This window comes from Homo sapiens, chromosome 20, assembly GCF_000001405.40.
Source record: "Homo sapiens chromosome 20, GRCh38.p14 Primary Assembly".
Classification (NCBI taxonomy): domain Eukaryota; kingdom Metazoa; phylum Chordata; class Mammalia; order Primates; family Hominidae; genus Homo; species Homo sapiens.
In genome coordinates, this window is record NC_000020.11 from 38,872,725 (window position 1) to 38,885,680 (window position 12,956).

The 12,956-nt window shown below is 48.6% G+C and overlaps 1 protein-coding gene and 1 pseudogene across 3 annotated transcripts in view, besides 1 other annotated feature; both read left to right on the plus strand.

Moving 5' to 3' along the window:
- PPP1R16B (protein phosphatase 1 regulatory subunit 16B) overlaps positions 1–12,956 on the plus strand; it is a 117,328-nt gene that overhangs the window by 67,028 nt on the left and 37,344 nt on the right. The window contains exon 1 of one of the 3 annotated variants that reach the window (XM_011528768.4): positions 9,768–10,816. The exons of the other annotated variants lie outside the window; for them this stretch is intronic. Within the exon in view, the coding sequence (XP_011527070.1) occupies positions 10,555–10,816 (262 nt within the window). The 5' untranslated portion in view covers positions 9,768–10,554. Of the gene's footprint in view, positions 1–9,767; positions 10,817–12,956 lie in introns of those variants that run through there. 3 annotated transcript variants of the gene reach the window in all.
- RN7SL116P (RNA, 7SL, cytoplasmic 116, pseudogene) lies at positions 46–350 on the plus strand (annotated as a pseudogene).
- Positions 564–883: an enhancer, noted in NCBI's record as "active region_17874". NCBI's record gives its function as "activates an Ori minimal core promoter by ATAC-STARR-seq in GM12878 lymphoblastoid cells {active_cell/tissue: GM12878}" and the evidence as "EXISTENCE:reporter gene assay evidence [ECO:0000049][PMID:35858748]".

Below are 12,956 nucleotides of genomic sequence, written 5' to 3' on the forward strand. Positions count from 1 at the left end.
AGAGAGGGGAGCACTTAGGTTTGTGATTTAGAAAACTGTGGGTGTGCGGCACGGTGGCGCATGCCCGTAGTCCCAGCTACTCGGTAGGCTGAAGCAGGAGGATCACTTGGGTCTGGGAGATCTGGGCTGTAGTGCGCTATGCTGATCGGGTGTCGGCACTAAGTTTGGCATTAATATGGTGACCTCCCGGGAGCGGAGGACCATCAGGGTGCCTAAGGAGGGATGAAGTGGCCCAGGTCGGAAACAGAGCAGGTCAAAACTCCCCTGCTGATCAGAAAACTGTGCATGGCTGCTGAGGACAGGGGTTTCCACCTCCGTCCCACCTCTCCTGCCAGGGCAGTGGCACCCTTAGCTCAGGAGGGTGCGTCAGGACCCAGTTCCATCCTCACACGGTGGGGAAGCCTGGGCTGTGCTCCCAGAACAAGAAACAGACCTGGGTGATGAGTGACAAATGTGGACGGTTCTCTGCACTGTGGGTGGAAATAGAAACCCTTAGTCAGCTGTGGGGTTCAGCAAAGAATTTCCCTGGTTAACGGAAACTTGACTGGCTGTGGGTGAGGGGGAGGTTGGGTTCTGAGACGTCTGGGAGGCCTGGGCTCTTCGGTTCTCGTGGTGCCCAGCTCAGCGTGATGCCTTCAGGTTTGAGACCACTTCCTCCTGTTGAGCCTCTTCTCTGGGGGCACTCATTATGTATGCTGCGTAACAAATCACCCCAAAAGGTGTTAAGTGAAAGTAACAACAGATGTCTGTGTTCTCACAGTTTCTGTGAGTCAGGAACCCGGGGTCGCTGGGTGGTTTGGGCTCAGGGTCTCTCAGGAGGCTGTCGTCAATATGTGGGCCAAGGCCTGACTGGGTTAGGGGATCTGATTCTAAGATGGCGCTCACACGCTGTTGGCAGGAGGCCTCACTCCCTCACTGGTGGTCTTTTCACAGGACTGCTAAGTCCACACTATGACAGCTGGCTTTCCCAGAACAGGTGATCCAAGGGGCAAGACAGAAGCTGAAACATCTTTTTTTTGTTTTTTTTTTTTTGAGATGGAGTCTCACTCTGTTGCCCAGGCTGGCGTGATCTCAGCTCACTGCAACCTCTGCCTCCTGGGTTCAACCGATTCTCCTACCTCAGCCTCCCAGGTAGCTGGGATTACAGGCATGTGCCACCACACTCGGCTAATTTTTGTATTTTTAGTAGAGACAGGGTTTCACCATGTTGGCCAGGATGGTCTCAAACTCCTAACCTCAGGTTATCTGCCCGCCTCGGCCTCCCAAAGTTCTGGGATTACAGGCATGAGCCACCGTGCCTGGCCAGCTGAAACATCTTTTATGACCCAGACTCACAAGGCACACTCCATCCTATTGGTGACACATTAGCCCTGTTCACTGGGGGAGGGAACTGGACAAGAAGGTGAATCCTAGGAGGCTGGGGTACTTGGGTGGCATCTTGGAGACTGACCACAATGCCCAAACTGCCCTTTGGCCTTATCTTGTAGTCAGTCCACAGATCTCCAAAGATAACTGTATCTGGTGCTGCTATTTGTTGTCTTGGAGCTTGAAGACTGGGCCCTACATTCCTGAGGGGTGCCTGCTGGAGCCAGGAGGTGGGGTAGGGGAGAGCCAGCTAGTAGCTAAACACTTTACTCATTCCAGACACTATGGTCAGCACTTTATAATCTAATTCTCAGACAACCTTATGAGATTATAGTCCCCATTCTACAGATGGGGAAACTGAGGCTCAGATAGAGGAGATGACACATCTGAGATCAAACCACTGGGAAATGGTGGGGTCTGAATTCTGAACCACTACACGTGTGTCTTCATACCAGGTGCAATGCTTAGGTAGACTGCATATTCCCCAACAGTGTGCTTTGATGGCTTCTCTCCAGGGTGGAAGTGGTTGGAGCAAAGGTCAGACTGGCCCTTTCATCCCTTGGGCTCAGAGCCTGGCACTAGGCTTGCTGGCAGAAGAGGAAACAGGAAGGCTTTGGGCTGCATGCAGATCCCCAACTCTTAAAACCTGGGGTCAAGTTTGGCTCTCTCATACATTCTCATGGTGGAGCAAGCATGGGTCAAGTGTGGGGGTATTGGAGCCTCTTACCAGCTGAGTAGATTGGGGCAAGTTAATTAAACTCACTGTGCCTCAGTATCCCCAACTGTAAAATAGGAGCTCATTAGAGCCTGCCTCACATTTGCCTTGGGCTGTTGTAAGCATTAAATGAGATCATTTCCTACACATGCTAGACTCAGGGCTGGGCAACAGCAAGTGCTCAGTAAACATGAGCTCTTCTTATCGCAGGCTTGTTAGATGCTGATATGCATCTGCTGTCTGTTCCCACATCTGGCTGAGCTGTGAGGATACGAGGGTTGAAGACCATGGCATTTTTGTCTATTGCTGGGAGCATCAGCAAATGATCCATCCTGCAGGTCCGAGAGCTCAGGACATTTTCAGCAAATGGCTCCCAAGTCCCATACATCACTCTACCTACATCCTGTCCTGGTCCTCTCTGAGCCAGGAACAGAGGGTTCCAGAAGCCCTGGAAAACTTGCAGCTTGCTCCCCTCCGGGCCCAGCCAGCTACTCTCTAGCTGTTCCTGTCTGATAAGAGAGTGGATTTTTCCATTTCCTGCAGCAGAAATGCTCCTGTTTCCTCTCTGCCCACCCAGCTGCCCTGGTTTCTGCTGCTGCACGGGCAGAAGATGGGTATCTGGAAGTCACAGGAGATTGTGCAGCATGCAGGGAGAGTAGCAGGACAGGGCCCCCCAGGCAGGTGGGGCTGCAAGGCAGTCAGCATACCTTGCAGGAGCCAGACTTCTCTGTTTTGTTTTGACATGGGAACCGAGTCTGTATCAGAAATGACAAAATCAAACACCCGCAAACAAAACCCCCCAGCGAAGCAAACAGGAAGCAGGGTCTGGATAAAAATACCATCCTTTTTGCAGCTGCAGCCTCCACCATGCAGGTTTCAGAAGGTCACGCTCTTGACAGGAAATGTGGCTGCTTTCAGAGGGGAGAGGTGGCTGAGTTGGGGCCGGGGGTAGAGACAGTGGGGACAGCCAGAAGCAACAGCAGGCTCTCGGGGGAGGTTCGTGCACCTTTCACTTCTTGACAGGTGAAGGAACTGGGCCCGATCTGTCTGTTCCCTTCCTGGCCACGATCCCAGGGTTCACCTTGGACTTATATTTGTTTCTTCCTCTCCTACCAGGGACCAGGAGACTTTTATTGTGAGGGTGAAATGAGACTGTGGTTTTGAACTTTTTTTTTTTTTTTTTTTTGAGATGGAGTTTCGCTCTTGTTGCCCAGGCTGGAGTGCAATGGTGGGATCTTAACTCACTGCAACTCCGCCTCCCGGGTTCGGGCGATTCTCCTGCTTCAGCCTCCCAAGTAGCTGGGATTACAGGTGCCTACCACCATGCCCAGCTAAATTTTTGTATTTTTGGTAGAGACAGGTTTCACCATGTTGGCCAGGCTGGTCTCGAACTCCTGACCTCAGGTGATCTGCCCGCCTTGGCCTCCCAAAGTGCTTGGATTACAAGCATGAGCCACCACTCTCAGCCATTGAACATATTTTGTTAGCTGAAAAGCATTACCCTGAGGATCAGCAAAGTTTTTCTGCAAAGGGCTAGATAAGAAATATTTTCGGCTGTGTGGCCATATGGTCTCTGTCTAACTCCTCAGCTGTGCTGCTGGAGCCTCAAAACAGCCATAGGCAATGCATAACAAGGGAGCGTGTGTTCCAATTAGTTTTTGGACACTGATATGCCACTTTCATGTAATGTTCATGTATTGCCAAATATTACTCTTCTTTGATTTTTTTCAACCATTAAAAAAAAAATAGAAGCCATTCTCAGCTTGCAAGCAGTATAAAATTAAGCCAGATTTGGTTTGTAGACCACAGTGTGCCAACCCCTGCACTCTCCAAACAAAATGGTTTGTATTATTGTTGCTATTTAACTTCCTACTCAATACAGGAATCCCAGCTTTAGCACTTCCTTCATGGGGTCAGCCAGGTTGAGACTTTGTTTCTGCACTAGCTACTTTGAGCAGAAATAGAGTTCTTACCACTTGGCTATCATTCTGCGGAAGGTTTTTGTTTTTTAGTGAAATTGAGAAGTTCTGATTATAAAGGTAGTACATATGGATTTTAAAATGCTTGGGAAATACTGGCAAACACAAAATAAAAATCCCTGATAAATCATAGCTACTGTATTTTTTTTCCAATGAAAAGTGTGTGGATGTATGGAAAGCATTTTTTTCCTTTCCAGTTGAGATTCCATTGAATGTAAAGTTTTGACTCTTTGTTTTTCCATTCTATGTTATATATCAAGCATTTTCCCATGTCATTAGAAATTCCTCAAAGATACCAGCTGCAGAATATTCCATTATATGGATGTTTCATAATTTACCAAATCAACCTCCAATTGTTTAGGCATTTGGGTTGCTTCCAGGATTTCTCACTTATAAACAATATGCATATAAACAATGCTGCTGTGAACATCCTTGTTCGTAAATCTTTGTCTGCCCTCTGATCTTTTCTTTAGGGAGAATGTGTGCTGAAAATTCCTAGGAAAACTGTGCTTCTGACTTATATACTAACTTTTTTTTTTTTTTGAGTTGGAGTCTCGCTCTTGTTGCCCACGCTGGAGTGCAATGGTGCGACCTCGGCCCACTGCAACCTCCACCTCCCAGGTTCAAGCAATTCTCCACCTCAGCCTCCTGAGTAGCTGGGATTACAGGCACCCACCACCACGCCCGGCTAATTTTTTTTGTATTTTTAGTAGAGATGGGGTTTCACCATGTTGGCCAGGCTGATCTCGAAATCCTGACGTCAGGTGATCCATCCGCCTCGGGCTCCCAAAGTGCTGGGATTACAGGTGTGAGTCACCACACCCAGCCTATACTAACCATTTTTGCTTTACTGAATTTGACTTTGCTGATTATGCAGTTCATAAGGTTTCCTCACTGATAATGACTTCATTCTCCCCTCCTGCACCGCTAGCCCCAGGCGACCACTGATCTGCTTTCTGTTTATAATTTCATTTTGAAGTATCTCATTTTTGATCAGCCTAAAGTTGATTACCTCCTTATTTGCTCAGAATTCCATTCTTCATAATAGTAATGCTGCCACCTCCACTTTCTTTGTGTTTGTGTTTGCCTGTTTTATATTTGAACATTCCTTTAATTTTAGTCTCCGTTATTTTGTTTGGAATATATCTCTTGTAAGCAGCACACAGTTGTTTTTTTTTTTTTTTTTTTTTTTTTTTGGCAACCAAATCATTGCTGCTTTATGGGAAGGATAAATGATTCAATTTACTCATCTGGTACATGTTTGGATGTCGGTCATCTTGCTTCGTGATTTGTGGCATTTATTTCTTTTATTATTTCTTTCATTTTGTGACTTTAATGAATACTGTGTTGATTTGCATTTATCTTTTCCATCGATAATATGGAAGATACAAGTAGTGACTTCAATTTCTTATGTGGTTACCTTTAAAATTTTCAGAAATCTTGTTTTATTTCCCCAGGCAGACACTTGTTCATGTCCTATGTAATACAGGGCTGAGGCAGAGTAGCATCTTTAGGAAAGACCAAAATTGAAAGCCAAGGCAGAGACAGGGGAGGTAGTTTTGGGACAGCAGAACAGGACCAGGGAAATCAGAGGGAAGCTTCAGAGTGGACAGGTGTGAGCTGAAGGAACTTCCCCCTTCATACACAGCTTGTTGCCTTTTCCTAAACATTGATAGGAATGGATTTTATTCTTGGCTATATTTGAGTGAGGGTCCCTTGTAATTAGTCATGCCTGAAATACCAGTTATGTATGGAATCAACCAGACTAGAATTTGAGTCTCAGTGCTTACTAGCTAAATAATCTTGGGAAAATCATATAAGTTATCTGTCAAATGGTCTAATAATAGCACCTAAGTCATGTGGTTGTTGTGGGGATTGAGGCATCCCAGGGATCTGGGATAATACATGTAACATCCTGGTACAGTGCCTTATACTTGGAAAATAGTCAATGAATGTTAGATGCTATTATGATGGCTGTGAAGCTATTACAGTGTTTATATGCATGTATCTCCTACCTGCAGGGCTGGAAATATTTTTATCTATTACTTGCCTGGAGATATAAAGTAAATGGACTATTTTTAAAAATTCAGGATTGATAGCTGGAAGGAGAAGTGAGGTGAGAGATGGGTTTTAGAGAGCAAGAGCGAGTCAGAAAGAGGCATTCAGGGCATCTGGGGAGAGGGGAATTGGGATAAGAGCAGATACCTTGGAGAGCTCCCGGACGGCCAGTGCGTGTTTAGGCGGGCCAGGCTCTGCGGAGCGGAAGGGAGATCAGGTCCCTAGGTCTGCAGTGAAGCTGTAAGGAGAGGTGCTGGGAGAATTCTGGAGGTAGAATCAGTAAAGAACAGGGGCCTGGTGCAGCGGGGGTCTGATGTATTTATGAATAGAATGAGGAAGTTCCAAGTTCGTGTTTCTGGATAAGGGGGACCCTTGCCTTCAGTCTCTGAGATTAAGTACAGTGAGGGGTAAGAGAAGGGGAAGGAAGGGAGAAGAAGAGAGAGGGAAGGGTCCAAGGCACACAGTCTTTGCAGCTTTGGTGGAGAAATCTTACAGGCCCATATCATCTTCACGGTAGCTGAGTTAAATGCAGTTCTCCCTCCCTTTGAGGAAATCGAATACACAAATGTCCCCTCACACATTAGGAAGTGATTCCCCACCTCACCCCAACCTCCATGTGTCAGAAAGACTATACATATTGAAAAAGATTAACTGCAGGCCTACTTTGTACATCAGTTTTCTGGGTATCTTTAGTTTTTTATTCTTAGAATTTAAAAAAATATTTTTAATTTGTTCATTCAGTCAACAAATATTTGTTGAGTGCTTTCTCTAGGAGCTGCATGCCCCACATAAGAAGACAGACACGAGTTGCCCGCATAGAGCTTATATCCTAAAGGGTGTGCTGTCACTTTTCCTGCATACACCCAATGCCAGATGTAAGTTACATGTGCAGAGGCATCTGGGTAGCTGATGTGAATCTCTGTCAACCCCTTCTGTCTAGCAGAGACATATGTCCTGGGCACAGAGGTTCTAGAAGGGAGCAGGTTTATAGCTACGTGTCTGGGGTCCCCTTGGCCATCTTGTCCTGGTGGTGCTAAGGGTGTCAGAGATGCTAGGAGAGGAACTGGCCTCTTTGTTCAAGCCAAAGGGTGAAGATTCTCTCTGACAAGGAAAAGTCTGTGGCCCAGCCTGGGAATGCTCTTGTCCAAAGGAAGAAGCATAGAGTAGCTCAAGAACAGATGTTCTGGCTGGTTCTGAGGCTTGGGTAGAGGCCAGGTAAGCTCCATTCACTTCTGCGGTCATCAGAAATTGACTGGGGGCCTGAACTACATCACAGGAGCAGCACGGTAGCCAAAAGATGGTCCTACTCACCCTATCCCTCCAGAACTTTAGTGTCGTAAAGACACAGACAAATCCATACATAACTATAAAATAGTGTTAAGTCTTTTTGGAGTTTGGGAGGCACAGCAGTCATATGAGAAGGGTGCCTGGCCCAGCCTGGGAGACCTGCAAGAGGCTTTGCAGAATAAATGACATTGAAGCTGGGACTTGGAATCTAAGTAAGAATTAACCAGGTGAAGTGAAGACAGAGAAAGACAGGCAGGGCTGGGTGTGGTGGCTCACGCTTGTAATCCCAGCCCTTTGGGAGGCTGAGGCAGGAGGATCACTTGAGCTGAGGAGTTCGAGACCAGCCTGGACAACATGGCAAAATGCCATCTCTACAAAAATACAAAAAAAATTAGCTGGGCATGGTGGTGCGCACCTGTACTCCCAGCTACTTAGGAGGCTGAGGTGGGAGGATTGCTTGAGCCCTGGAGGTTGAGGCTGCAGTGAGCTTGATCACACCACTGTACTCCAGCCTGGGTGAGAGAGGGACCTTGTCTCAAAAAGAAAAAAATACTATTCCATTGTATGGAATTTTGTTTATCTATTCATTAGTTGATGGAAATTTGGGTATTACTTTAGAGATATCGCGACTAATGCTATAAAAACATTCATATGCAAAGTTCTGTGTGGACATATATGTTCATTCCTCTTAAATATATACCTAGGAGTAGAATTGCTGGGTCAGATGGTAATGCTGTTTAACTTTTTAAGGACCTGTCAGTCTGTTTTCCACAGTGCTGTGCCATCTTACGTTCCCACCAGCAGGGCCCGAGGGCTCTGATTTCCACGCGTCTTCACACGGTTGTCCAACCCCTCCTCTTCTTGAATGGGCCAAGAGTGATACTTTCTATCTGGGGAAGAGCAAGGGGCTGGCTCCTGGGACCTGAGGCTTGGTCCTGGGGATGTGACTTTGAGGGAAGCCCGTGTCTTTCTGGTCCACCAGGGTGAGTCATCACCCAGGATCCCGGGGGAGCTGCCTGGCAGAGGGGCGGGCTGCACCAGCCACTGCAGAAACCACCATGCAACTTGACTGAGTCTCCACCCTCAGCTCCAGGCAGCCGGGCTTCCCTGGGAGCAGCTATTTCTGGCTATTTCTGCTCCAGGGAGGAGCAGTGGTGGGTGGAAAGGTTTCAATTGCTCAGTGGGGTGATTTTTGGAAGCGCAGTGCCTTGGGGGCACAGGACAGCTTTGACTTGGGAGGAGAGCAGAGGGGCTGCTCTGAGAGTGCTGGCCCTTTGGCGTTATCAGAGCAGAGGGCTGGGCACACAGCAGTCCTGACAGCACCTTGAAGAGGGGGAAATAAGTCAGTGCGGACTGGGCTGTTCATGCAGGAGGTGCAACCCAGTGGGCGGGATGTGGCGACATCAGGCAGGCCACCAGGGTGCTTGGAAGCAGGGGCAGGCTGGGGTCTACCTACAATGGAGATGCAGCAGGGAGACCGACAGAGGTGGCGCTGGACCTCAGGCTCAGTGTTCACTTCTGTGCCTCAGTGACTTCATTTGCAAATATAGTAACCACAAAGGCTGCAGCAATGCCTGTTGGCAACTGTCTTCTCTATCACATGATGTTCTGGAACACTGACCTTTATTGGCAATGTTCTTGACCTTTCTCTTAGCTTTTTGCCATCCCTGTGGGCTCTCTTCATGATAACATCTGTGTCCATCCTGTTCTTCTCTCCGCTGTATATGCTTCCTTCCCTGGGTCCTTGTTTGGTACCATTTTAGCAAAGTGGTTAAGGGTTCACTCTTCGGAGCTGGCTGGGCCTGGGTGAAAATCCCAGCTCTACCATTCCCAGCCAGGTGTCTTTGGGCAAATCATTTCATGTATGCAAATCTGAGCCTCAGTTTTCCCATCTGTAAACTGGAGCAATAATCGCAGGGAGCTATTTAATAACAGCAGGTTACTTATCCTCGTAACTGGATTATGAGGACTAATTGACTTGATGGATATGAAGGGCTTAACACAATGCCTGGCACACAGTTAGTGCTGGGCTGTAGAAAGAGCAAGGGCACAGGGCAGAGAGAATGAGGAGTGGGATCCTGGACAGAGGGACATGTTGAGTCCCCTGTATCCAGCCTGCAGAGGGGGACAGTGTTGGGTGGGGCTGAAGGACTGCTGTGGTCAGCCTCCAGGTCAGGTGGTGTTGATGAGGGAGGCTCAAGGAAGGGTGTCTGCTCACTCATTTTTTTTTAAGTTTGTTGTTGTTGTTGTTGTTCTTGTTCTTGTTTTAAGAGACAGCATCCTGCTCTGTCATCCAGGCTGGAGTGCAGTGATACAATCACAGCTCACTGCAGCCTCGAACTCCTGGCCTTAAGTGATCCTACGGCCTCAGCCTCCCAAAGCATTGGGATTACGGGTGTGAGCCACTACATCTGGCCTCACTCGATTTTGTACAAAAGTCACAATCATTGCTTTTTATTCCTGAGTCATACTCCTGTTGTGCCCCATGTCTGTGGGACTACACTGACAAATAGTTTCATGCCCTCAGGAACAAGTAGCTCCATGGGTAACAAAGTAAGTGCTGCTGTAAAGGACAAAAGCAGAAATGCAGGGTAGTGTGGAGAGAATAGATGGGGAAGCTCAATGGAGATTAGGGCAATCAGGGAAGGCCTCCCAGAGGAGGTGACATTTTGGCTAAAACCTAAAGGATGAAGAAGAGTTTGCCAGCCCAAGAATGGGAAGAAAGAAGGCTCCGGGCATAGGAAACAGTGTGTGCAAAGGCCTGGAGGATCAGAGCTCGGTTTTTGTTTTGTTTTGTTTTAGGAAATGAGAGGCCAGTGTGGCTGAACCAGTGAGGGATTCAGGGAGGGATTTCCAGGTAAGGCAGGTGTGGAGCAGGCAGGGACTAGATCATGCAATGCCTTGGAGGCAGTGGGAGGATGAGGCCTCATTGCTGGGCACTGGGCAGGAAAGGAAGGAAGAGAGATAGGAGGGCAGGCCTTGTGAGTGAACCTGACCCTGCAAGTCACATGGCGAGGTGGCAGCAGCTCAGCCCCAGGGCACCCCCCGGGGAGATGCAGCTTGCCCAAGGTCCACCTCCACTGGGCAGACACCTCTGCCTGGCTGTCTCCGTTTCCCCAGAGGAGGAGCAGGAGCCACGCCTATGGTCGCATGTTGCTAACCATCTCGAGGTCAGGAAGATGCTCTGTGAGACGGAGTGGGTCAGATGCCAAAGAAAACACAAGCTTGTCAGCGGTGATGTCTCCCTGCAAAGGCAGCCGCCACCAGCTTCCTGCCGAGATGGGCCGGCTCAGCCTCACTTGCTACAGCTGGAGATGGAGAGGACCAGATGGCCCTGTTTGGCCCAGATTCCAGCCAGATTGCCAGGGAGGTGTAGGCGGAGCAGCGGGGTCGGCGCCAGGAGCAGGGATACGTGAGTGAGGAGGGCGGGAGCCACCTCTTTGCCATCTCAGTAGGGCCCTGCCTGTGTAGGGGGTGGCGGGGCACCGACTGTGGCCTTACAGTGGTCTGTGAACCAGCATATGCTCAGAGCTCCCTGGAGGGAGACTGCCTCTGTCTTTTACCACCAGCTCTAAAGCTCTTGAGAGGTGCAAGATGTTGATGGTTGTATTCCCAGCATCCAGCACAGGGTGGCACACAAGCAAGAGCTCACTGGTTGATTTTTGTTTTTATTTTTAAAATAAATGCTAACAGTAGCCAGGGCCTTGTCTTCCTTAACCCCACAGCAATGCCATGAGGGAGCACTGTTGTGATCCCCATTTTGCAGATGAGGACATGGAAGCAGAGAAGGGGAATAACTTGCCTAGAGCCGCAGCTAAGCAAATGCATGAGAATAAATGGGTCACTCTGACAAACTGATGGCAGAGCCTGGGACTTGGGGCTTTGTGGGCAAGAAGCTGCCCTGAGTGTGGGCAACTGAGAGAAGGTGTGGACACTCCTGGCCGAAGGGAATAAGCGTGCCTTTCTCGTCTTTGTGCTCCCTGAGCTCCAGGCAACACCTTAGACCCAAGCCAGCTTCCTCCATTGCTCCAGGTGCTCCAGAGAGCAAGAGATGAGCCGGGAGAGGTAGGGAGACAGGACCCCTGGCGTGGCTGAGCAGGCTGCACACTGCGTAATTCCAGGGCACTGTATTCACACAGACTATGATGAGAACAGTGCAAGGTACTGTTATGCAAGCGTATTTGCATATTGCCTTGGAATTATGCAAGGCAGTAGCTCTGTAGGCGGAACCACACCATACAGGACTTTGAAGACCAGGGGTCTGCAAACCTTTTCTGCAAAGGGCCAGATAGTAAATATCGTAGGCCACGTGAGCCATACAGTCTCTGTTGTACCTACTCAATTCTGCTGTTGGAGGGTGAAAGCAGTCATAGGTGATATGTAAATGAATGAGTGTGGATGTGTTCCAATAAAACTTTATTTGCAGAAACAGGCTGCCTGCCAGATTTGGCTCACAGGCCATAGTTTGTCAGTCCCAATGAAGGTCATGGAAGGATTTTGAACTTCATCCCAAGGGCACTGTTGGGGCTGGACGTGGTTGTGCGTGCGCCTGGAGTCTCAACTACTCAGAAGGCTGAGGTGGGAGGATTGCTTGAGTGCAAGAGTTTGAGTCCAGCCTGGGCAACATAGTGAGGCCCTGTCTCTTAAAAAAAGAAGGCGGCGGACAGGCACAGCGGCTCACACCTGTAATCCCAGGATTTTGGGGGGCTGAGGCAGGCAGATCACGAGGTCAGGAGATTAAGACCATCCTGGCTAACATGGTGAAACCCCGTCTCTACTAAAAATACAAAAAATTAGCTGAGCATGGTGGCACATGACTGTAGTCCCAGGTACTTGGGAGGCTGAGGCAGAAGAGCCGAGATCGCACCACTGCACTACAGCCTGGGCAACAGAGCTAAACTCTGTCTCAAAAAAAAAAAAAAAAAAAAAAAGAAGAAGAAGAAGACTGGGCGTGGTGACTCATGCCTTAAATCCCAGCACTTTGAGAGGCTGAGATGGGAGGATTGCTTGAGGCCAAGAGTTTGAGACCAGCCTGGTCAACATAGTGAGACCCCCATCCCTATATTAAAAAAATAATAATAATAAAAGAAGAAGAAGAAGAAAAGAGCAGAATGGAGCCACGAGAAGGTTTTAAGCAGGGAGTCAGGGAGCCAGGTTTACATTTTAAATGGCCCTGAAAGAGCTAATCCCTCAGCAGGGCAACACCATTTCTTCTGTCCCATTTGTGCATCCTTGAACTCTTCTATCTTCAAGTAGAGGCTTGGCCTGGGATTGCAGGGCGTCTGATACATAGAGAGTTCCAGAAGCAAAGGTCACTGCTGTCCATTTCCCATTACCCTCGTCCCCAAATCAGCTGTCAGCACAGGTCTCGACGTGGCAGAAATCCAGAAATGCTGTTCCTATTCCTGGCCTTAGGGCAGAGTAGAATGGTCCACTGGCCACCAGCCTGGGCTTTGAAATCAGAGAGGCCCGGTGCCAAATCCCTGCTCCTTAATTTGGCCACATGTGACTAAGCTACATCTTCCTGGCCCTCTGTCTCTTCTTCTGCATAA